The following is a 24,385-nucleotide window of genomic DNA, read 5'->3' as shown; positions in this document are numbered from 1 at the left end:
CCAGCCTGGCCAACATGGCGAAACCTCGTCTCTACTAAAAATACAAAAATTAGTTGGGCATGTTGGCGCGCGCCTGTAGTTGCAGCTACTCTGGAGGCTGAAGCAGGCGAATCGCTTGAATCCAGGAAGCAGAGGTTGCAGTGAGCCGAGATTGTGCCACTGCACTCCAGCCTGGGCAACAGAGCAAGACTCCATCTCAAAGCAAAAACAAACAAATGGCCAGGCACAGTGGCTTATGCCTGTAATCCCAGCACTTTGGGAGGCTGAGGCAGGAGGATCACCTGAGGTTGGGAGTTCGAGACCAGCCTGACCAACAAGGAGATACCCTGCCTCTACTTAAAATACAAAATTAGTCGGGTGTGCTGGCGCATGCCTGTAATTCCAGCTACTCTAGAAGGCTGAGGCAGGAGACTCGCTTGAACCCGGGAGGCGGAGGTTGCGGTGAGCCGAGATCGTGCCATTGTACTCTAGCCTGGGCAACAAGAGTGAGACTCCATCTCAAAACTACAAAAACAAACAGACAAAAACTGTCTTTTGTATGCTGCTGAGATGGCTGATGGCTGGGAGCCCCTAGATAACTTCAGGACGGGGGCTAGTTGCCAAAAAGATCAAGGCAGGATCTCCAAGGGAGGGGAGGGAGAGGGGCTGAAGGTTGAGTTCATCACCAATGGCCAATGATTTAATCAATCATGCCTATGTAATGAAGCCTTCATAAAAACCCCAAAGGATAGAGTTCTAGGAGCTTCCAGATAGCTGATCACATGGAGGATGGTGGATGGTTCCTGGAGGATGGCACTCAGAGAGGGCATGGAAGTGCCACACACCTTTCTGCATACCTTGCCCTATGCATCTCTTCCATCTGGTTATTAACCTATATCCTTTGTAATATCCTTTATCATAAATGGGTAAATATAAGTAAGGTGTTTCCCTGAGTTCTGTGAGCTGTCCTGGCAAACCCTAGGAGGGATTTGTGGGAACCTCACTTTAGAGCCAGTTTGTCAGAAATACAGGTCACAGCCAAGAGTTTACAATTGGCATCTGAAGTGGGCAGTAGTCTTGTGGGACTGCGGGATCTAACACTATCTCCAGGTAGATAGTGTCAGATTGAATTGAATTAGAGGACAGCTATCTGGTGTCTGCTAGAGAATTGCTCAGTATGTGGAGAAAGCCCCCACCCATCTGGTGTCAGAAGTATTGTGTTGAGTGACCGCATAAGACAGTAAAGAGGGCCAGGCTCAGTGGCTCATGCCTGTAATCCCAGCACTTTGGGAGGTTGAGGCAGGCAGACCGTGAGGTCAAGAGATCGAGACCATCCTGGCCAACATGGTGAAACCCCGTCTCTACTAAAAATACAAAAATTAGCCAGGTGTGGTGGTGCGCGCCTGTAGTCCCAGCTACTCAGGAGGCTGAGGCAGGAGAATCGCTTGAACCCAGGAGGCAGAGGTTGCAGTGAGCTGAGATCACACCACTGCACTCCAGCCTGGTGACAGAGCAAGACTCTGTCTCAAATAAAATAAAATAAAATAAAATAAAATAAGCTCCAAGACCGGGCACGGTGGCTCACGCCTGAAATCCCAGCAGTTTGGGTTTGGGAGGCTGAGATGGGAGGATTGCTTGAGCCCAGGAGTTCAAGACTAGCCTGGGCAACATAGTGAGACTCAGTTTCTCCAAAAGTACAAACATTTTCTGGGTGTTGTGGTGTGCACCTGTGGTCTCAGCTACTTGGGATGCTGAGGTGGGAGGATTGTTTCAGCCTGGGAGTTTGAAGCTGCACTGACCTGTGATTGCACCGCCATACTCCAGCGTGGGCCACAGAGTGGAGCCTCCCATCTCAGTTAAAAAGAAAAGAAAAGAAAAGAAATCTGGTAGGCCAGGAGTGGTGGCAGGTTTGGCTCATGCTTGTAATCCCAGCACTCTGGGAGTCTAAGGTGACAGGATTGCTTGAAGCCAGGAGTTCCAGAACAGCCTGGTCGATCTAGGCAGACCCCATATCTACAAAAAACTAAAAACAAAATTAGCCAGGCATGGTGGCAGTACCTGTAGTCCCAGCCACTCAGAAGGCTGGAGGATCACTTGAGCCCAGGAGGATGAGGCTGCAGTGAGCTATGATCATGCCACTGACAGAGTGAGACCTTGTCTCTTAAAAAAAAAAAAAAAAAAAATCTGTCAGGGTTAGTTGTCGTCAGAACCATTTTACATGTGTACGAATGTTTTCTTGTAATTCTTATACTACTTTTAAAATAACAAAATAAAGTTTAAAAAAATTTATTTTAAGAACTGAGATCTGCATAAGCCAGAAAAATGAAAATGGGAGGCAGTGGGTGTGGGGAAGACAGCAGCTGCATTTTTTTATTGAGAAATATATAAGTCTTGCCAAAAGTGGTTATTTTGGCTTTTTAGTCTTAAAAAGAATAGCTCTTCTTTTTGATCTCCTTTAGAGTTCACATGCTACCCCTGACAGCAGCATGGATTCATTATGTAATTTATTCATTCTACAAATATGTATGGAGTGCTGGCTCTGTGCCGGGCACTGGTGATACAGTGAATGTTGAGGAAAACCCAAGGCACTCTCAGGGAACCTGAAGTCATGTGGAGCTCTTTTATGTCATGCATGTTATCCCTTTTCCTATCATGCATGTTACAAATATTTTCCCTTTTAATACTTTCACGATCTACACCACTTCTTTTTTCTTTTTTCTTTTCTTTTTTTTTGAGAAGAGTCTCGCTCTGTCACCCAGGGTGGAGTGCAGTGGCGCGATCTTGGCTCACTGCAACCTCCGCTTCTCCAATTCAAGCGATTCTCCTGCCTCAGACTCCCAGGTGGCTGAGACTACAAGCACGCACCACGACATCCAGATAATTTTATTTTTTTTTTGAGACGGAGTCTTGCTCTATCGCCCAGGCTGGAGTGCAGTGGCAAAATCTTGGCTTACTTAAGCTCTGCCTCCTGGGTTCACGCCACTCTCCCGCCTCAGCCTCCCTAGTAGCTGGGACTACAGGCTCATGCTGCCATGCGCGGCTAATTTTTTTTTATTTTTTTTATTTTTTAGTACAGACGGAGTTTCACCATGTTGGCCAGGCTGGTCTTGAACTCCTAACCTCAAGTGATCCACTCGCCTCAGCCTCCCAAAGTGCTAGGATTACAGGCATGAACCACCTCGCCCAGCCTGTACGATTTTTTTTAAACCCATTTATTTTATTTTATTTATTTGTTATACTTTAAGTTATAGGGTACATGTGCACAACGTGCAGGTTTGTTACATAGGTATACATGTGCCATGTTGGTTTGCTGCACCCATCAACTCGTCATTTACATTAGGTATTTCTCCTAATGCTATCCCTCCCCCAGCCCCCCACCCCCCACCAGCCCTGGTATGTGATGTTCCCCACCCTCTATCCATGTGTTCTCATTGTTCAACTCCCACTTATGAGTTCTAACTCATTTTTGCCTCCCAGAGGATCCCGGTGTCTTAGCTGTGGATCTCTCAATACTTGCAGGTCACAGGGCCACAGAGGCTGGGCCTCTAGGAGCAGAGGACACGGAACAGTCTATTTTTTTTTTTATTTTTTTGAGACAGTGTCTTGCTCTGTTGCCCAGGCTGGAGTGAAGTGGTTCCATCTCGGCTCACTGCAACCTCCACCTCCCGGGTTCAAGCTATTTTCCTGCCTCAGCCTCCCGAGTAGCTGGAACTACAGGCGCCTGCCATCATGCCAGTTAATTGTTTTGCATTTTTAGTAGAGACGGGGGTTTCACCATGCTGGCCAGGCTGGTCTTGAACTCCTGAGCTCAAGTGATGCGGCCTCCTAGGCCTCCCAAAGTGCTGGGATTACAGGTGTGAGCCACCGTGCCCTGCCTTAAAAACCCATTTCTAAATTCCAAAGAGTAACTTCTATTAGTGCACTCTTATTAAGAGAGGTAAAGCAAAAGGAACTATAAAAGCAACTATAATTGAAGTCTATTTGAGACATGGCTCAGTATTTCAATGAAAATGTAACACAGTCAATGAAATACTATCTCAAATGTAGTTGTGCAAATTAAGGAATAGTTGGTAGTAGCTGCATTTACAAATTCAAGAGTGAAACGTGCATAATTCGTGCAACCCAAAGTTTGGGACAGAGAGATATGAGAAGCCAAAGTGACTAGTGCACTGACAGTTTTGCTTCGGAAAGGCTTGGGGTTGGACATCTTACATCTTTACATACATATATAACCCTTACCACGATCCTACGCTACGCGAACCAACATCATCTCCATAGTAATAACTAATATGTATCTGGCCTTCGCCACATGCAAACTTCACATACATATGTCAGTGAGGTCGGTCCTATTATTTACCTCACTTTACAAATGAAGCAACGGAGGCGCGAAGAAGCTATTAATAGGTAACTTGTTCAAAGTCACATAGCCCCTAAGTGGTGGGGCAAGGATTCTGAGTGTCTGACTTTCTCACTTCGGAACTTACACTTTTAAACATTAAGCTGTCCTTGTTGGGATCTGTATCGCCTAGCCTTTGACCGGGCATTGCAAATAGAAGTCATCAATGAATGAGACCACAAATGCATGCAGGGAACAATAACAAAAGATGAAAACAGAACAGGCAGAACAGGAGTTCGAGACTAGCCTGGCCAACATGGCGAAACCCCGTCTCTACTAAAAATACAAAAATTAGCAGGGCGTGGTGGTGGGCGCCTGTAATCCCAACTACTGGGGAGGCCGAGGCAGGAGAATCGCTTGAACCTGGGAGATGGAGGCTGCAGTGAGCCGAGATCGCGCCATTGCACTCCGGCCTGGGCGAAAGAGCGAGACTCCATCTCAAAAACAAAACAAAAGGGCAGAACAAAAACGTAGTTACTTGAAGGGGTCACTCACCCCGGACCCGACCGTGCCACAGCCCCGACGCCACGCATGTCTAGGACCAGCTGAGGACGCGGCCTCTCGGCGGTAACCTTGGTAACCAGCCAGCGCGCCGCTGGCCCTCCGGAAGTCAGACTCCGCCGGGCTGAGCCGAGCTACGCCAGCGCCGACTGGCGTCGTGGAGGAGTCTGCGCAGAGGAGACACCTGATCCGGTGGGAGACGGCCAGGGGAGCGCGCGCGGATTGGCTGGAGCCGACGGGGGACGGCTGGGCGGGGCGCGGACTGGGGGACCGCAGTCCCGGGGAGCGCACCGGAAGTTCTCGCCTGGCCCAGGCGCGGGGTCCAAGATGGTGGCGCTAGGAGCCGCGACCCAGTGATAGCGGCCGTGGAGGGGCCCCCGACCGAGCGGGAGGTTGGGGGTAGCCTGGAGGTGAGACCCCGCTGCGTTCACAGAGCTGGCGGCCGCGGCGCCTGCGTCCACCGGCAAGCGAGGAGTGGAGCAGAGCTCATATGCCTATGGGGAGAGGCCTGGGGGACCGCAGGAGGATGTAGGCGCCGGGTGCGCATGACTGGGCCTTCTTGCTCTCGGTCGGCTTCTTGGTCTCGGCGTGCCCCATTCCCGGCCCTGTCCCGCTACTCTTGCCTGTTCCAGTTCCCTCCTGTGGGTACCGCTAACGGCATCTTCCCGAGGCCCAGAATCCACCGTCAGGCATAAATTGATTATTCCTCGCCCACATCTGTGCCAGGTATATTTGTATATGTAACCAAATCTGGTTTTTGCATCCCACGAGTGACCCCGCTGGGGAGGCTAGACTAAGCCACAGGAATGAACTGTATTGTTCATATATGTTCTACTACTCAGTCTAAAATATTAGGACTGTTAGAGTTCAAACAAGGGAGGGATTTAGGTGGGCTGGTCTCTTTGTAAGGGTCTACATTGCTTTTAGGAGCAGCTTCTATTGTGACCAAGCGAGTTACAGAGAAACGCCACACTTTGAGACAAATTAAAGAGTCCTTATTAGCCGGCAACCGAGAGGCAGCTAGCGCCCAAAATTTTCTCGGCCCTGAGGAAGGGGCTAGTTTTGTTTTTATACCGTGGTCTAAATAGGGGAGGGGGGATTTTAGCTGAAGCAATTTTTACAGAAGCAGAACTGGCAAAAAGTTGAAAAATTAATTGGTTACAAATGCAGTTACAAAATATAAACAGTTCCAATTGCACGGGCTTAAACTATCACAAAGAGATAAATGCAGGGGTTTTGCTTGCCATCCACCGAGCGCGTCCCCAGGAGCTGCTGGTGCAGCTTGCCTCAATATCTTATCAGTAGGTGCATTCCTGGACGTGCTTTGAGTCAGTTTACACTAGCTATGCCTTAAGGGAGGGAGGTGAAAGGGGGCTGCCAGTGGAGAAACTAAAATGGAGTCTGTCCGGCTCTCTCTCTGCTAGGAGAGAGTCACTCAGGTTAAAACAAAGTAGGGTATCACACTTCAAAAGTCATTTCTTTTGGGAAGCCTTCCCGGATTGCCACCGCAGCGCTTTTAGCATCTAATTCATAGGCTCTTACTACCTTGTTTCATGTGTGAGTCTTCCTCTAGGCATAGATTCTTTGTTTAGCTTCACCTAATGCGTGCCCATGAATGTGAATTAAAAAGGATTGACATAGTTAAAAGATACTAAGAACTGGGCATGAAATAGTGGCATTTCTTAAGTTAAAAAATAGTGGCCCCTAGGCCAGCTTTGAGTGTAGACACATTTTCTTGGCTCATGCTGTTTGTTTTTATTTGAATTAATGGCCAACTTCCTTTTTTTTCTTAAGACAGAGTCTCGCTCTGTCAACAGACTAGAGTGCAGTGGTGCGATCTCGGCTCACTGCAACCTCCGCCTCCCAGGTTCAAGCGATTCTCCTGCCTCAGCCTTCCGAGTAGCTGGGACTACAGGCATGTGCCACCACGCCCAGCTAATTTTGTATTTTTAGTAGACACAGGATTTCTCTCCATGTTGGTCAGGCTGGTCTCGAACTCCCAACCTCTGGTACTCTGCCTGCCTCAGCCTCCCAAAGTGCTGGAATTACAGGTGTGAGCCACTGCGCCCGGCCTGTGTTTGCTCTTTTCTTTAGGAACACTAATTATATGTATTTGATTATCTTTCTTTAGTTACTGGTTTTCTCTGTAATCACATTTGTATTCATTTCATTTTTTATTATTTCTCCAGGCCTCATTGTGACCTTGTAGTGATTATTTTTGTTGTTCCTTATGTGAATTTCATCTACATAATGCTTTTTATTTGCCCTTCCATTTCTTTCCTCAGCATTGTCAAATCACTTCTCACTACTTTTTATTGTTTTCTAATCTAATTTGTTTTTGGCCAGGCATGGTGGCTCATGTCTGTAATCTCAGCACTTTGGGAGGCTGAAGAATCCCTTGAGGCCAGGAGTTTGAGACCTGCCTGGGCAACATAGCAAGACCTTTTCTCTACAAAAAAATTATTTAAACTAGCTGGGTATGGTGGTGTGCCTATGGTGTCAGGCTGAAGTGGGAGGATTGCTTGAGCCCAGGAGTTTGAGGTTGCAGTGAGCTATGATTGCACCACTGCACTCCAGCCTGGGTGACAGAATGAGAGCATGTATGAAAAAAACAAAACAAGCTGGGCACAGTGGCTCACGCCTGTAATGCTAGCACTTTGGGAGGCTGAGGCAGGAAGATCCCTTGAGGCCAGGAGTTCCAGAACACCCTGGACAACACGGCAAGCCCCATCTCTACAAAAACTTAGCCATGTGTGCTGCAGCATGCCTGTAATCCCAGCTACTTGGGAGGCTGAGGTGGGAGAATCATCTCAGCCTGGGAGGTCAAGGCTGCAGTGAACCATGATTACACCACTGCACTCCAGCCTGGGTGACAGAGACCCTGTCTCCAAAAAAAAAAGTGAAAAAAAAATGGCCTGGCACAGTGGCTCACACCTATAACCCCAGCACTTTGGGAGGCCAAGGTGGGAGGATCACTTGAAGCCAGGAGTTCAAGACCAGCCTGGGCAGTATACTGAGGCCCCATTGCTATTATTTTTTCCTTTCTCTTTTCTTTTTTTTTTTGGCTACATGACTCAATATTTTTTTTTAAATTAAAAATGTCAAATTTTTGGCTGGGCGTGGTGGCTCACCCCTGTAATCCCAGCACTTTGGGAGGCCAAGGCGGGCAGATCACGAGGTCAGGAGATCGAGACCATCCTGGCTAATGTGGTGAAACCCCGTCTCTACTAAAAGTACAAAAAATTAGCTGGGCGTACTGGTGGGCGCCTGTAGTCCCAGCTACTCGGGAGGCTGAGGCAGGAGAATGGCGTGAACCCGGGAGGCGGAGCTTGCAGTGAGCCGAGATCGCGCCATTGCACTCCAGCCTGGGTAACAGAGCAAGACTCCATCTCAAAAAAAAAAAAAAAGTCAAAATTTTAAATGTAAATGTGTAATCTGTTTTAAACCCTTATATCTCTTCTTTAGGCTTTTATTTAAAGAGTTATTTTGTCTGAAATTTCTTTGAGATAATGGAGAATTCTCTGCTGAATGTTTCCTATTAATTTCTTTGTATTCTTCATGGATGTATGTTTCTGTTGCTGATGTTCCTTTCTTTCCTTTATTCTTCCCTGAAAATGTGTATTTTTTTATTTTAAGCATACATCCCACAAATTTATCTTAACAATTACTACTCAATAATGAATGAAGCAGGCTCTTTATTAAAAAGTACTATGGGAACAAACAGAGGAAATTGAGCCCAGGCACTTGAAAGCCTTCATACAGATTTGCTGCCACAAACGCCTCATCAAATCTAGAGGCATACCTTCCTTCAGCTTCTGGCTTTCAAGACTTCAGTATGACACAATAAAAGCCCTTCAGATCACAAGTTTTTTGTGAAAAAAAAAAAAAAAGGGCAGCCTTTAATCTACTATCTTTTAAATAGTAATCTGCTCCTGAATTTTGAACTCTCTCTCTCTATATATATATGTATATCGAACCAAAAAAAAAAAAAAACACTAAACACTTCAAGGGAAAATTATGACAAAGCCAATTCTCTCCAATAATAAAGGTCAGGGATTTGATAATATGGGCACCCAAAAGCAGTAAGGCCACTGTCTTTCAGTTGCAGGAGAGGGTATGGTATTTAAATGAAATCCAAGGCCAGGTGCAGTGCCTCACACCTGCAATCCCAGCACTTTGGGAGTCCAGGGCAGGATGGCCTGAGCCCAGGAGTGTGAGACCAGCCTGGGCAACATGGTGAGACCATATCTCTAAAAAAAAAAAAAAAAAAGGAAATCCAGCCTGGATATGGAGGTCTGTTCTATGGACACATTACTTAATATTAAAGGGTAAGTATTAATAGTAATAATAACAGCAGCTGACACATAGTGCTTTCTGTATGCAAAGCACTGTTCTAAATGTTTTATGTGTATTTATATATATTTGATTCTCATAACAACTCTATGAGGTAAATACTATTATTATCTCCATTTTATAGATGACGAAGCTAGGGCACTGAGAGCTCCAGTGATTTGCCTGAGGTTTCCCCATCATTAAGTGGTGGAGCCAGGTTTCAAACTCAGGCAGTTTGCCTTTCAGTCCATGCTGTTAATCACTGTGCCATGTTGCTGCTCATTCACTCCAAGAAGATTAATGACTAGAGTCCCTATCAGCAGGACCAAAATAAAATGACTCTCCCAAGGAGCTCAGAAATGTGTTTTTGTGACTGACTGATATGGTTTGGCTCTGTGTCCCCACCCAAATCTCATCTTGAATTGTACTTCCATAATTCCCATATGTTGTGGGAGGGACCTGGTGGGAGATAATTTGAATCATGGGGGTGGTTCCCCCATACTGTTTTCATGGTAGTGAATAAGTCTCATGAGATCTGATGGTTTTATCATTGGTTTCCGCTTTTGCATCTTCCTCATTTTCTCTTGCCACCACAATGTAAGAAGTGCCTTTTGCCTCCTGCCATAATTCTGAGGCCTCTCAAACCATGTGGAACTGTAAGTCCAATTAAACCTCTTTTTCTTCCCAGTCTCGGGTATGTCTTCATCAGCAGCATGAAAACATACTAATACAGTAAATTGGTGCCAGGGGTGCTGCTGAAAAGACATCCAAAATGTGGAAGCAATTCTGGAGCTGGAGAACAGGCAAAGGTCGGAACAGTCTGGGGGGCTCAGAAGAAGACAGGAAAATGTGGGAAAGTTTGGAACTTCTAGAGACTTGTTGAGTGGCTTTGACCAAAGGCCTGACAGCATTATGGACAATAAGGTCCAGGCTGAGGTGGTCTCAGATGGAGATGAGGAACTTGTCGGGAACTGGAGCAGAGGTGACTCTTGTTATGTTTTAGCAAAGACACTGGTGGCATTTTGCCACTGCCCTAGAGATTTGTGGAACTTTGAACTTGAGAGAGATGATTTAGGGTATCTGGTGGAAGAAATTTCTAAGCAGCAAAACATTCAAGGTGTGACTTGGGTCCTGTTAAATGGATTCAGTTTTATGAGGGAAGCAGAGCATAAAAGTTCAGAAAATTTGCAGCCTGAGAATGTGATAGAAAAGAAAAACCCATTTTCTGAGGAGAAATTCAATCAGGCTGCAGAAATTTGCATAAGTAACAAGAAGCTGAATGTTAATCCGCAAGACAATGGGGAAAATGTCTCCAGGGCATGTCAGAAGTCTTCACAGCAGCCCCTCCCATCACAGGCCTGGAGGCCTAGGAGAAAATGGTTTTGTGGGCCAGGCCCAGGGTCCCAATGCTGTGTCCAGCCTAGGGACTTGGTGCGCTGCATCCCAGCCGCTCTAGCCATGGCTGAAAGGGGCCAATGTAGATAGAGCTCAAGCTGTGGCTTCAGAGGGTGCCCTAAGCCTTGGCAGTTTCCACATGGTGTTGAGTCTTTAGGTACACAGAAGTCAAGAATTGAGGTTTGGGAACTTCCACCTGGATTTCAGAAGATGTATGGAAACGCTTGGATGCCCAGCCAGAAGTTTGCTGCAGGGGCAGGGATCTCATGGAGAACCTCTGCTAGGGCACTGCAGAAGGGAAATGTGGGGTCGAAGCCACCATATGGAGTCCCTACTCGGGCACCTTCTAGTGGAGCTGTGAGAAGAGGGCCAATGACCTCCAGACCCCAGAATGGTAGATCCACCTACAGCTTGCACCGTATGCCTGGAAAAGCTGCAGACACTCAACACCAGCCCGTGAAAGCAGCCAGGAGGGAGGCTGTGCCCTACAAAGCCACAGGGGTGGAGTTGCCCAAGACCATGGGAACCCACCTCTTGCATCAGCATGACCTGGATGTGAGACCTGGAGTCAAAGGAGATCATTTTGGAGGTTTAAAATTTGATTGCCTTGCTGGATTTCGGACTTGCATGGGCCCTGTAACCCCTTTGTTTTGGCCAATTTCTCCCATTTGGAACAGCTGTATTTACCCAGCAATACCTGTACCCCCATTATATCTAGGAAGTAACTAGCTTGCTTTTGATTTTACAGGCTCATAGGAGGAAGGGACTTGCCTTGTTTCTGTTGAGACTTTGAACTGTGGACTTTTGGGTTAATGCTGAAATGAGATGAGACTTAGGGGGACTGTTGGGAAGGCATGATTGGTTTTGAAATGTGAGGACATAAGATTTGGAGGGGCCAGGGGCAGAATGATATGGTTTGGCTCTGTGTCCCCACTCAAGTCTCATCTTGAATTGTACTCCCATAAATCCCATGTTTTGTGGGAGGGATATGGTGGGAGATAATTTGAATCATGGGGGCAGTTTCCCCCCTACTATTCTCATGGTAGTGAATAAGTCTCATGAGATCTGATGATTTTATCAGGGGTTTCTGCTTTTGCATCTTCCTCATTTTCTCTTGCCACCACCATGTAAGATGTGCCTTTCACCTCCCACCATGATTCTGAGGCCTTCCCAGCCATGTGGAACTGTAAGTCCAACTAAACCTCTTTTTCTCTCCAGTCTCAGGTATGTCTTTATCAGCAGCATGAAAACGGACTAATCCACTGGGGAAGGTCAGGGATTTGATAACGTGGACCCTCAAAAGCAATAAGCTCATCTATCTTGTAATTTCAGAAGAAATCAAATTGCCACACAAAAGGAGGCAATTCCATCAGAATATCAGAAAGAAAAATGTGAGGTCTGAGAAGAAGAGAATTGATTTCTATTGAAATGACAGCCAAACGTTTTTATTCTGAGGCATAGTACAGATTTGCTTAACTATCATGATATATAGGGAGGAAAGAGCAGTATGCTGGTTATTAATTTATTGCCTCTCAACTCCAGATCCACCCATCTTTGTTTGCTTTTGTTACAAAGCTGGATTCTGTAAACATTTCTCCTTTGCCAGTTCGTACAAGATTTGACTTTGTCAACAGAGGATGCTGGAGGGACAATGCGTGGCCATGGGAAGAGAAACTAACTTCCTGGTACCGGTGTGCTGTTCTATTTTTATTTATTTATTTTAATTATTTACTTATGTGGCTGCTAGCAGATCAACTTGTGGGAGGCCTGGTGGCATTTACCCTAGTGGGTTGCTTCCTGTGAACCAGTTCAGGCCCAGCCACACCATCCAGCAAGTTCCTCCCCCATCCAACAGGCCACTTCCTGTGGACCAACTCCAGATTGCCCTCCTCCCCCAGTGAATTAATTCACCACCCTTTAGGCCACTCCCACAGCCCAGCTCCAGCCTGCACCCTGGCGGGTTTTTTCACCAACAGGGTATGTGGTAGCACAGGTTCCTGTGTTAGCCACAGTGTCGCTAGTGAAAGCCACATCTCAGCTTTGGCAGGGAAAGGTCTTCTGAGTTCTTTGTTCCTCCCTCTTAGACTGCCCAGTATAATGAAGAGATGATATTTGTATTTTAGGAATTATAGAATGATCTACTTATCATTTCAGATTCTGAAGACAGGAATAAGATGAAGGAATGGAAATCAAAGATGGAAATTTCTGAAGAAAAGAAGTCAGCAAGGGCTGCATCCGAAAAACTCCAAAGACAAATCACCCAGGAATGTGAGTTAGTTGAAACCAGTAATTCTGAGGACAGATTATTGAAGCACTGGGTAAGCCCTTTAAAGGATGCAATGAGACATCTCCCTTCCCAAGAGAGCGGTATCAGGGAAATGCATATTATCCCCCAGAAAGCCATTGTGGGAGAGATTGGCCATGGATGTAATGAAGGAGAAAAAATACTTTCTGCAGGAGAAAGCTCCCATAGATATGAGGTTAGTGGCCAAAACTTCAAACAGAAGTCAGGATTAACTGAACATCAGAAAATTCATAATATAAATAAGACCTATGAATGTAAGGAATGTGAAAAAACCTTCAACAGGAGTTCAAACCTGATCATACATCAGAGAATTCATACAGGAAATAAGCCATATGTGTGTAATGAATGTGGGAAAGACTCTAATCAAAGTTCAAATCTTATTATACATCAGAGAATTCATACAGGAAAGAAACCTTATATATGTCATGAATGTGGAAAAGACTTCAATCAGAGCTCCAATCTGGTGAGACATAAGCAAATTCACAGTGGTGGGAATCCCTATGAGTGCAAAGAGTGTGGGAAGGCTTTTAAGGGAAGCTCAAACCTTGTCCTGCACCAGAGAATCCACAGTAGGGGGAAGCCATATTTATGCAATAAATGTGGGAAGGCTTTCAGTCAAAGCACAGATCTTATTATACATCACAGAATTCACACTGGAGAGAAACCCTATGAATGTTATGACTGTGGACAGATGTTCAGTCAAAGTTCACACCTTGTCCCACATCAGAGAATTCACACTGGAGAGAAACCCCTCAAATGTAATGAATGTGAAAAAGCCTTCAGGCAGCATTCTCACCTTACTGAACACCAGAGACTCCACAGTGGAGAGAAACCCTATGAATGTCACAGATGTGGGAAGACCTTCAGTGGGCGCACAGCTTTTCTTAAACATCAGAGATTGCATGCTGGAGAGAAAATTGAAGAATGTGAGAAAACCTTCAGCAAGGATGAGGAGCTTAGGGAAGAGCAGAGAATTCACCAGGAAGAGAAAGCTTATTGGTGTAATCAGTGTGGTAGGAATTTCCAGGGCACCTCAGACCTCATCAGACATCAGGTAACTCATACAGGAGAGAAACCATATGAATGTAAAGAATGTGGGAAAACTTTCAATCAGAGCTCAGACCTTCTGAGACATCATAGAATTCACAGTGGAGAAAAACCTTGTGTATGTAGCAAATGTGGGAAATCTTTTAGGGGCAGCTCAGATCTTATTAGACACCATCGTGTTCATACTGGAGAGAAACCCTATGAATGTAGTGAATGTGGGAAAGCCTTTAGCCAGAGGTCACACCTTGTTACACACCAGAAAATCCATACTGGAGAGAAGCCCTATCAGTGCACTGAATGTGGGAAAGCCTTCAGGCGGCGTTCACTCCTTATTCAACATCGGAGAATTCATAGTGGTGAGAAACCCTATGAATGTAAGGAATGTGGGAAGCTCTTCATTTGGCGCACAGCTTTCCTCAAACATCAGAGCCTGCATACTGGAGAGAAACTTGAATGTGAGAAAACCTTCAGCCAGGATGAGGAGCTTAGGGGAGAGCAGAAAATTCACCAGGAAGCGAAAGCTTATTGGTGTAATCAGTGTGGTAGGGCTTTCCAGGGCAGCTCAGACCTCATCAGACATCAGGTAACTCATACAAGAGAGAAACCATATGAATGCAAAGAATGTGGGAAAACTTTCAATCAGAGCTCAGACCTTCTGAGACATCATAGAATTCACAGTGGAGAAAAACCTTATGTATGCAACAAATGTGGGAAATCTTTTAGGGGTAGCTCAGATCTTATTAAACACCATCGTATTCATACTGGAGAGAAACCCTATGAATGTAGTGAATGTGGGAAAGCCTTCAGCCAGAGGTCACACCTTGCTACACACCAGAAAATCCATACTGGAGAGAAACCCTATCAGTGCAGTGAATGTGGGAATGCCTTCAGGCGGCGTTCCCTCCTTATTCAACATCGGAGACTTCATAGTGGTGAGAAACCCTATGAATGTAAGGAATGTGGGAAACTCTTCATGTGGCACACGGCTTTCCTCAAACATCAGAGACTGCATGCTGGAGAGAAACTTGAAGAATGTGAGAAAACCTTCAGCAAGGATGAGGAGCTTAGAAAAGAGCAGAGAACTCACCAGGAAAAGAAAGTTTATTGGTGTAATCAGTGTAGTAGGACCTTCCAGGGCAGCTCAGATCTCATCAGACATCAGGTAACTCATACAAGAGAGAAACCATATGAATGTAAAGAATGTGGGAAAACTCAATCAGAGCTCAGACCTTCTGAGACATCATAGAATTCACAGTGGAGAAAAACCTTACGTATGCAATAAATGTGGGGAATCTTTTAGGAGCAGCTCAGATCTTATTAAACACCATCGTGTTCATACTGGAGAGAAACCTCATGAATGTAGTGAATGTGGGAAAGTCTTTAGCCAGAGGTCCCACCTTGTCACACACCAGAAAATCCACACTGGAGAGAAGCCCTATCAGTGCACTGAATGTGAAAAAGCCTTCAGGCGGCGTTCACTCCTTATTCAACGTCGGAGAATTCATAGTGGTGAGAAACCCTATGAATGTAAGGAATGTGGGAAACTCTTCATGTGGCACACAGCTTTCCTCAAACATCAGAGACTGCATGCTGGAGAGAAACTTGAAGAACGTGAGAAAACCTTCAGCAAGGATGAGGAGCTTAGGGGAGAGCAGAAAATTCACCAAGAAGAGAAAGCTTATTGGTGTAATCAGTGTGGTAGGGCTTTCCAGGGCAGCTCAGACCTCATCGGACATCAGGTAACTCATACAGGAGAGAAACCATATGAATGTAAAGAATGTGGGAAAACTTTCAATCAGAGCTCAGACCTTCTGAGACATCATAGAATTCACAGTGGAGAAAAACCTTATGTATGCAACAAATGTGGGAAATCTTTTAGGGGCAGCTCAGATCTTATTAGACACCATCGTGTTCATACTGGAGAGAAACCCTATGAATGCCCTGAATGTTGGAAGGCCTTCAGTCAGAACTCACACCTTGTCAGTCATCAAAGAATTCATACCAGAGAGAAACCCTTTGAATGTAGCAACTGTGGTAAGGCCTTCAGTGGGTGGACAGCTTTTCTTAAGCACCAGAAACTTCACATTGGAAAGGAATTTGAAGACTGTAAGAGTCTACAAACAGGACCTATTCTAATAGGTAGCAGAAACCTAATGAATGCAGTAAAACTAGGAAAAGTCTGATGGAGACCACATCTTATTGCACTACAAATGAGTTTTATTAGAAAAAAACCATGGGAAGGTGGGAAAGCAGAGAAAATACCTACTGGATTTTTCAAACGTAAGTATAATCAAGTGGAAAAGCCAAAAGCTCTTGGACATAATCACCTTTTTTTTTTCTGTCTCAGAACTGACACTAGAATATGGTCCCAACGATACAATTTTTTAAATTATTTATTTTTTAACATACAAAGAGATGAGGTCTCACTATGTTGCCCAGGCTGGACTTGAACTCTTGGGCTCAAGCACTCCTCCCTCCTCAGCCTCCCAAAGGGTTGGGATTACCGGCATGAGCCACTGCACCAGCCCCAGGGGTCTAATTACTTGAGAATGTTTTAAGGGATGTCTATCATTATTAAAATCATTATAAATCACTTTGGCAACAACCCCAAAACTAAATTATTCATGGAAAGAGCCATTTCAATCTTGACTTCCTAGTCGAGTGACAAGTTTAAATGTGGGAAAAAACCCTGTGAAAGTAATGAGTGTAGGCCAGGTGCGGTGGCTCGTACCTGTAATCCAGCACTTTGGGAAGCCAAGGTGGGCAGATCACGAGGTCACGAGTTGATCATGAGGAGTTACTATGCCCAGCCAACATACTAAAACCCCGTCTCTACTAAAAATAACAAAAATTAGCCAGGCATGGTGGGGCACGCCTGTAGTCCCAGGTACTTGCGAGGCTAGGGCAGGAGAATCACTTGAACCTGGGAGGTGGAGGTTGCGGTGAGCCAAGATCATGCCACTGCACTCCAGCCTGGGCAACAAGTGCGAAACTCCATCTCAAAAAAAAAAAAAAGTCTAACTCTTCTGCTTGTCTTTACAATGCTGTACAGTGAGAGCTAATGTTTATAAGGATAAACAGGATACTTACAGGGATTTGAAGGTAATTTAATTCAGTGGTTTCCAACTTTTTAATCACCAAGGCCTTCTTTTTACTCCCCTATGTCCTGTGTCTTAAAAGATTATGTTTACCAAACTGCATTTATTAAAGAATTATATTTTGCTACATAAAGGCATGTACAACACAAATCATGCTTCTGACTGGCACCATGTAGGCAGACCTAGGTACTAAAATTCCAGCCCAAAGCAAATAATTTACCATTTTCATTAGTCTTTTTATTCCTTTTGTGGGCAAACATATCGTCTATGTTAGGCTTTTTGAAATATTAACTATGACTTGTAAACTCCAGATTAAAAACTAACCAATTCATCTTTGATGGAGCTTGAATCAAACTAAGGGTATTGGACTTTTGAAAGATTGAAATTTTTGTTACAGTATGGAATGTTTTTAACTGAATGTTGAAATAAAAGTTATTTAAGAATTACTTAGTGACTGTTTAGTATGTGCCAGGGGCCGTAATTAGATGGGGCTGAAGAAAGATAGTCATTGTTGAATCTTCTTCAGGTAGACCAGGTCCTCCTTGAGGTTCTCAGGCTGCATCTCCAGGTTGGCTCCGGCCAGGGTCAGCTTGTCCAGCCCCTGGTGCAGCTCCAGAGACCCAGCCTCGCTTGGTGCAGAAGTCATTGGCAGCCAGGTGGGCATCATCCACCTGTAGCCAGCACTTCTCCATTCTGCCAACGTCTCCGGCCTGGTGAGTCTGGATGTGAGCGCATCCCAGGGGGCCCAAGGCACAGAGAGAGAGAGGAACGGGGTGGAGGGAGGGAAGTGTGTGCAGGGGCCAGGAGCGCCAGGCTGCTCGGGCTTCCCGGCCCCTGCAGCCCGCCAGGAGCTGTGGCCAAGGCAGAGGCCTGCCCTGCTGCTGCTGGCGCTGTCACCTCCCTGTGGTCCTGCCTTCTGGGTCCTTGAGGGCCTCCTGTCATCTGGAACTGGAAATAAGTTAGTGAAGCGACGTTTTGTGAATATTTATTGGCCTTTGCGTCTTTGTCTTCATTTTCAGTGCTGGCTTTTCTGTTGGGTCATTTGTGTTCTTATGTTGATTTGAAGAATTTAAAAAGGTATTCTATAAATTAATCCTTTATGGGGTCATTTCTAGTGCAGATAGTTGTTTCTTAGTCTGGTCATTGTACCGTAATTTTATTTCACATTTCTTTCTTGCTGGTAAATAAGAATCTAATTGATTTTATATATTGATTTTGTATCTTGTTACCTGGTTTAATTCACATATTCATAGGCATCATTTTTGGATTGTGGTGGGTTTTTCATGTACTTATGTACATGTAGTTATGTACTTATGTACTTAAATACTTAACGTACTTACATACTTATGTAGTTAGTGTCAGCCACATATAATAACACCTATATTGCTTAAATGTTGGTTCTTACACCTTTATTTTTCTTTATTTTCTTCTTTTATTGTCCCCATCACACCTCCTGAACACGGTGTGTCTGGTTCTGATTCCAGGGAACAGGTTTCAGTGATCCTGTATTCCTTATGTAGTTTATTATAATTTCATTTTAGACAAACAATGAGATTAAGGAAGCTGCCTTCTTTTACATATGCTAAGAGTTATTTATGACTAATTGTTGAATTTGAATAAATGCTTTTTTTTACATATACTGTAAATAATCATATGTTTTTCTCGTATTTTTCTGAAAATAGGATATTTTATGTGAACTATTTTTGGATGTTAACCAATCCTGCATTTTTTAGTATATCCCACTTGGTATCCATGTGTTACATTTCCATATGTGGTTTAATTCATATGATATGGTTTTTTTTAGAATATTTGTATTTCTGTTAATGAAAGAGTGGGCCTATAATTTTTTTTTCTAAGGTCCTGTTCAGATTGTGGTGTCAAAGTAATGCTGGCTTCACAAAAAAAAAAAACTGAAAAATATTTCCTATATTTCTTCTCTTTGGAAGAGTCTGAGAAATTTAGGTGTTTTCTTCCTTAAATATTTGGAATATTTCTTTAGGTATGGAATTTTCCTTGTGGAACAGTATTTTTGTTGGCTGGTTTGACTTCTAATAATTCAAATCCTTCGGTATATGTAGGAGTTTTCTTGTTTTATGTTATTTCTGTGTCCGTTTTAGTAAGTTTATTTTTATTTTTATTTTTTGGGGGACAGAGTCTCACTCTGTCTCCCAGGCTAGAGTGCAGTGGCGCAATCTCGGCTCACTGCAACTTCCGCCTCCTGGATTCAAGCAATTCTCCAGCCTCAGCCTCCTGAGTAGCTGGAGTTACAGGTGCGTGCCACCACCCCGGCTAATTTTTGTGTTTCTAGTAGACACGGGGTTTCACTATGTTGGCCAGGCTGGTCTCGAACTCCTGACCTCGTGATCCACCTGCCTCAGCCTCCCAAAGTGCTAGTATTACAGGTGTGAGCCACAGTGCCCGGCTGTATTTTTTAGTAGAGACGGGTTTTCAGCATGTTGGCCAGGCTGGTCTCGAACTCCTGGCCTCAGGCGATCCACCTGCCTCGAACTCCCAAAGTGCTGGGATTACAGGCGTGAGCCACCATGTCCGGCCTAGTAAGTTTATTTTTCAATGTGATGTTATTTGAATCTCTGTTGTCAAACTTGTAGTCCTAAGTATTTCACCGAACCCTCCTAGTGTCTTAATACACTGCTCTATGGAACAGGCTTTTGTTTTGGTTCCGGATATTGGTTTTCTGTGTCTTTCCTCTTTGCCTCAGTTGGTTTCACTAGTGGTTTCTTAAGTGTATTAATATTTATAAACCAACTTTTTTTTTTTTTTTTATGAGACAGAGACTCACTGTGTTGCCCATGCTGGAGTGCAGTGGTGCGATCTCGGCTCACTGCAAGCGCCGCCTCCCTGGTTCAGGCCATTCTCCTGCCTCAGCCTGCCGAGTAGCTGGGACTACAGGCACCCGCCACCCCGCCTGGCTAATTTTTTGTATTTTTTAGTAGAGACGGGGTTTCACTGTGTTAGCCAGGATGGTCTTGATCTCCTGACCTCGTGATCCGCCTGCCTCGGCCTCTCAAAGTGCTGGGATTACAGGTGTGAGCCTCTGCGCCCAACCCTATAAACCAACTTTTATCCTTGATTTGTTTCTGTTGCTTTTTTTTTCCTATTTCATTGATGTCTGCTCTTTATTACTTTCTCATTCTTTCATTTTGATCGTTTTTAATTCTTGAGAAGGGAGTTTATGTGATTGACTGTCAATCTTTTTTTCTATTCTAACATACTCCTTTAAGGCTGTAAATTTCTCTCTAAGCAGGGATTTATCTGACAGCCCACATTTTCCATCAGGTGTTTCCAAACCCTGTGTCTGCAGCCGCATTGACCTCCCAGTGTCTCCACCCTGTATCACCTACAGCCATGCCAGGCTTGTGTGTCTCCATCCTTGTGCAACAGAGACCCTGTCTCTATTTAAAAAAAAAAAAAGAAGAAACCTAAAAACAGACTGGCACTTAAAAGAGTTGTGCTTCATTTTTTGACTTTCCGTATTAATTTTCTGTTTGTTTGTTCCTTAAACAAGCTGCCACTGCTGCTGATTCAACATGTTTCATTTTATTCTTTTTTTTTTTTTTTTTTTTTGAGACAGAGTTTTGCTCTTGTTGCCCAGGCTGGAGTGCAATGGCGTGATCTCGGCTCACTGCAACCTCTGCCTCCCGGGTTCAAGCAATTCTCCTGCTTCAGCCTCCCAAGTAGCTGGGATTACAGGCATGCACCACCATGCCTGGCTAATTTTGTATTTTTAGTAGAGACGGGGTTTCTCCATATTGGTCAGGCTGGCCTGGAACTCTCAACCTTAGGTGATCCGCCTGCCTTGGCCTTCCAAAGTGCTGGGATTACAGGTGTAAGCCACTGGGCCTGGCCCATTTTATACATTTTTAATGTGTATTCTTGTTTTTGGAAAATGTGAACAGAGTACTATTAAACTCTTTTAGCGTCGGTGTAGCAAGGAGGTAAAGAAACAAACAACAAAACAAACAAAAAATCCCTCTTTGTGAAATAGGATTGAATATCGTTGGATTGAGCACTTACCAAGCAACTGTGCCAGGGTTTGTGTCCTTCATTTAATTCTTACAAGCCTGAGTGTTCCGTATTTTAACTTTATAGGTGAACAAATAGAAGCTGAGGGTGAAGGACCTACAGCTGTCACCTTCATCTCTTCTCAACACTGCCAGATGTCTCCTTGGATCTCCCAGACAGACAACAAGGGGCATCTCTGGTTTCTCGGTGCCCGCTAGAAACCTAGGGTCATTTCAAGGCATTATGCAAATGAGAAGCTTTCCTTCTCTTCACCTCATCTCCTGATCTGCACAAAAATGACTGTAGGACCCACTGTAGGTACCAATGTAGGCACCAATCCTCAGTTTACCACCTGCTCTCTACTTGCTTCCCTGCCATAACTTTCTAAAAGGGATGTGAGCCATGTTTAAAGTCACCTGGTCACTGGAGAGATCTTGTTCTACCCTCTACATCAGTGGTTGCCAACCTTTTTGGCACCAGGGATGGGTGTTGTGGAAGACAATTTTTCCACGGACTGGGGGGATGGGGGGAATGGTTTCAGGATAAAACTGTTCCACCTCAAATCATCAGGCATTAGATTCTCATAAGGAGCACACAACCTAGATTGCTAGCATGCGCAGTTCACAATAGGGTTCTTTCTCCTGTGAGAATGGCGTGCCGCTGCTGATCTAACAGGAGGCAGAGCTCAGGCGGTAATGGGAGCAAGGGGGAGCGGCTATAAATACAGCTCGCCACTCACCTCCTGCTGTGCAGCCCGGTTCCTAACAGGCCATGGACAGTACTGGTCTGTAGCCCAGGAGTTGGGGAATCCTGCTCTACAGAGTTTCCAACCTCAGAGATGAAGCATCCCCTCTGTATACAAGTCAGAAAGAAATTATTCAAGTAGGAGAATTAAAACAGGATCACAGAGAGGGAGGCTGAAGAATTTGACTTTCTGTGTTTACTTGTATGAGGAAAAACAGCACATAGAGGCAACCACAGTATTTAATTTGTTTGGATAATAGTTAACAGATAAACAGGTACACCCCATATACAATTACCAATACTTTTGATACAGTTCATATTTCAGTACATCAACACTATTTTATTTACACTCTATTTATGTACATTAACATCTTTCTAAAGTCAGTGCATTGTCAACAAGTTTTATACAGTAATTTACAAGGTGAATGTAGTTAATAGTTAATTTAATAAATTTTCCGCTAGTTCATGAATTAAAAAAATTAATTACAACCAGTATAACACAAATCACACAACATTAGTAGATTGTGCTACCTGTTTAAATAAAACATCTGTAAAGAAATTATTTAAAATCTTCCACTTTTTAATGGGACATGTCCAGGTAGGAATGGACAGATTTTATTTACTGAAAATCTTGAAACTATAAAGTGTGCATTTTGTCTGACTTTATTACATTAGACAATTTAGGCCACTCCTACCTACTTGCAATTATATTTTTTCTGAAAAGGATTTCAATTTAGGTAGCCATTTAAGATAACCTTTCCAAATGCTCTGAGAACTAGATATTAATAGTTACTGGCCTCAGATATCAGAACACAAATGCTTAGTTACATTGGTAATTACTACCTATGAGGAAGAAAGGGTAATGGAATCTGGCAATGAGAATCAACTTGCAGGGTCTAAATGAATAAACAAAGACCAAAAATAAGGTGAAACATTTCCTTCAAGTATATATTAAGAAACTACATGAAAAAAATTCTACCTCAAATAAATAATATTTATACTTTTGTTCCAATCTTAAATAATTAGAGGGAAAAAATGAAGTAAGCAAAGAAACATAACTTTCAATGACTACTGTAAAATTTAAAAAAAGACAAATATCAAAATAAAAAAACCAGTGGACATGCAAACAAAGCAAAACTAAAGTTGACTTCCTAAAACCACCAATTTCATTAAATATACTTATGAACTCCTAATGTCTGGGATGTGTTTTGTTTGTAATTTATAGCCCTTAGAGCCATCAAATACACACAAGCAAGTTCATTTGCATGTGTTCTCTCTTTTTTAAAGTGCAAAACAAACACAGAAAAGAATAACCACTAATTGTGAAACGTGATCTAGCTCCGATGCCGCTTACCTTCCCAGAAGCTCTTGTTGCAACATGTGCATGTGAAGATGGTGCAAATATTGGCAACTGCTCCCCTTCCCTCAGCATGGGCGGGGCCGGGGGTGCAGAATACATTTCTGAGGATACTTGAAGTAGCCTAAATGTAAGATGCCTCCACTGGGAGGGCCCTGGTAGCTGGATTTCCCAGGATGTTTTTCTTTCTACTGGGTCTCCCTCTGGTTGGAAGGCACATAGCTCTTAAGAGAGCCTCCCTTTCAGACTGACCACTCTATGCCCCTGCCACCAATGACTGGTTGTGTCTCAAACGTAAACACAATGGCAAAAACAAAAAGCAAGAAAAAGAAAGGGTATGGAAACAGTTTAAAAAATAAATTGAAAAATCCTTGTCCATGCCGTAAGAATCATTTGCACACCTTCATGATCTTGCTTTCTCCATCTTGTCAATATAATGGAATAAAACTTCAGGAAAAAGGAGGTAGCGTATCATGTCGTCCCTAGACAACATTATAATTGTTTGTTTTTTCCTCTGACTCCAAGGAAATCTTTAATATTTGTTATGATTATTGGTAAACTCTATACTCACTACATATTTGTTCATATCTGGACAAGCACAATTCAATTCTTATTTGGTCCCAGGTGGCTGGTGCCACACCTTTTGTTTACAGGCTAATGGTGGGATCTGCCTGAAAGTTCTCTATCAGACAGCTTGTATGAGACTTCAAAATACAATTGTTTCTACTCTTCAAGTTAACTATTTTAATTAGAATTTTTGTTCTAACAGGATAAAATAACTACATTTAGCTTGTCTTTCAGTGACACTTTTGCCAAGTATCAGCTACAAGGAGTCATCTCCCTCGCCACCAAGCTGTCTAGCAGCCAGAGTGGTAGCTTTACTGTAACATAGAGTACTTTTCGTAATCAGACTCAGAGTCTTCATCCGTACTGCTTGTGTCTGCCATCTTTTTGCCATCAATCTTTGGCAGAAATTGTGCGTAGTCTATCCCCTGCTGCTCATAGAAAAGAATGTAGGCAGAGTCGGTGTCAATTTCATCAGGGTGAAGTTCCTGAAAGGGCAAGAAAAACCTTTAACAAAAAGCCATCACTATTATGACTCTAAATCCTTGCCAGGAAAGGGAAGACCAACCCTCTGTAATTACTAACCTGATTGCTTCCAATAAGCTCACTAGTTTGGCTGTCTCACACCTGCCCCTTTAAAATGA

At 43.9% G+C, this 24,385-nt stretch overlaps 2 protein-coding genes and 1 long non-coding RNA gene across 18 annotated transcripts in view, besides 1 other annotated feature; 1 reads left to right on the top strand and 2 right to left on the bottom strand.

Annotated features, from left to right (window-relative positions):
• Positions 1 to 5,027, bottom strand: part of ZNF594-DT (ZNF594 divergent transcript) — a 43,997-nt gene extending 38,970 nt beyond the window's left edge. For both annotated transcript variants that reach the window (NR_034082.2, NR_152840.1), the window contains exon 1: positions 4,871 to 5,027. This is a non-coding gene — a long non-coding RNA (ZNF594 divergent transcript). The remainder of the gene's footprint in view (positions 1 to 4,870) is intronic.
• Positions 5,032 to 5,231: a silencer, noted in NCBI's record as "silent region_8065". NCBI's record gives its function as "represses an Ori minimal core promoter by ATAC-STARR-seq in GM12878 lymphoblastoid cells {active_cell/tissue: GM12878}" and the evidence as "EXISTENCE:reporter gene assay evidence [ECO:0000049][PMID:35858748]".
• On the top strand, positions 5,166 to 22,951 carry ZNF594 (zinc finger protein 594). 6 transcript variants are annotated; one of them, XR_001752666.3, is made up of 4 exons: positions 5,166 to 5,286; positions 12,758 to 16,235; positions 17,580 to 17,766; positions 21,164 to 22,951. XR_001752666.3 is itself a non-coding variant. In NM_032530.2 (2 exons), exon 2 carries the CDS (start codon positions 12,778 to 12,780, stop codon positions 15,199 to 15,201), a length of 2,424 nt encoding a protein of 807 aa, NP_115919.1. In that variant the 5' UTR covers positions 5,166 to 5,286; positions 12,758 to 12,777; the 3' UTR covers positions 15,202 to 17,499. The 6 variants fall into 6 exon arrangements, 2 of the variants coding, with proteins under 2 accessions (NP_115919.1, XP_005256884.1); XR_007065504.1 differs by having other exon boundaries at positions 5,166 to 5,602; XR_001752667.3 differs by lacking the exon at positions 17,580 to 17,766.
• The window catches only part of USP6 (ubiquitin specific peptidase 6), a 58,960-nt gene continuing 56,617 nt past the window's right edge, over positions 22,043 to 24,385 (bottom strand). For all 10 annotated transcript variants that reach the window (NM_001304284.2, XM_011524050.2, XM_047437018.1 and 7 more), the window contains one exon: positions 22,043 to 24,229. In NM_001304284.2, coding sequence (NP_001291213.1) covers positions 24,056 to 24,229 — 174 coding nt within the window. In that variant the 3' untranslated portion in view covers positions 22,043 to 24,055. The remainder of the gene's footprint in view (positions 24,230 to 24,385) is intronic.

Source organism: Homo sapiens, chromosome 17, assembly GCF_000001405.40.
Source record: "Homo sapiens chromosome 17, GRCh38.p14 Primary Assembly".
NCBI classification, from domain to species: domain Eukaryota; kingdom Metazoa; phylum Chordata; class Mammalia; order Primates; family Hominidae; genus Homo; species Homo sapiens.
The sequence above is the reverse complement of the archived record's forward strand: the minus strand, read 5'-3'. Positions and strand labels throughout refer to the sequence as shown.

Coding starts and splice junctions, on each gene's coding strand:
- ZNF594 (NM_032530.2), top strand. CDS start 12,778: ATGAAGGAATGGAAATCAAAGATGGAAATTTCTGAAGAAAAGAAGTCA.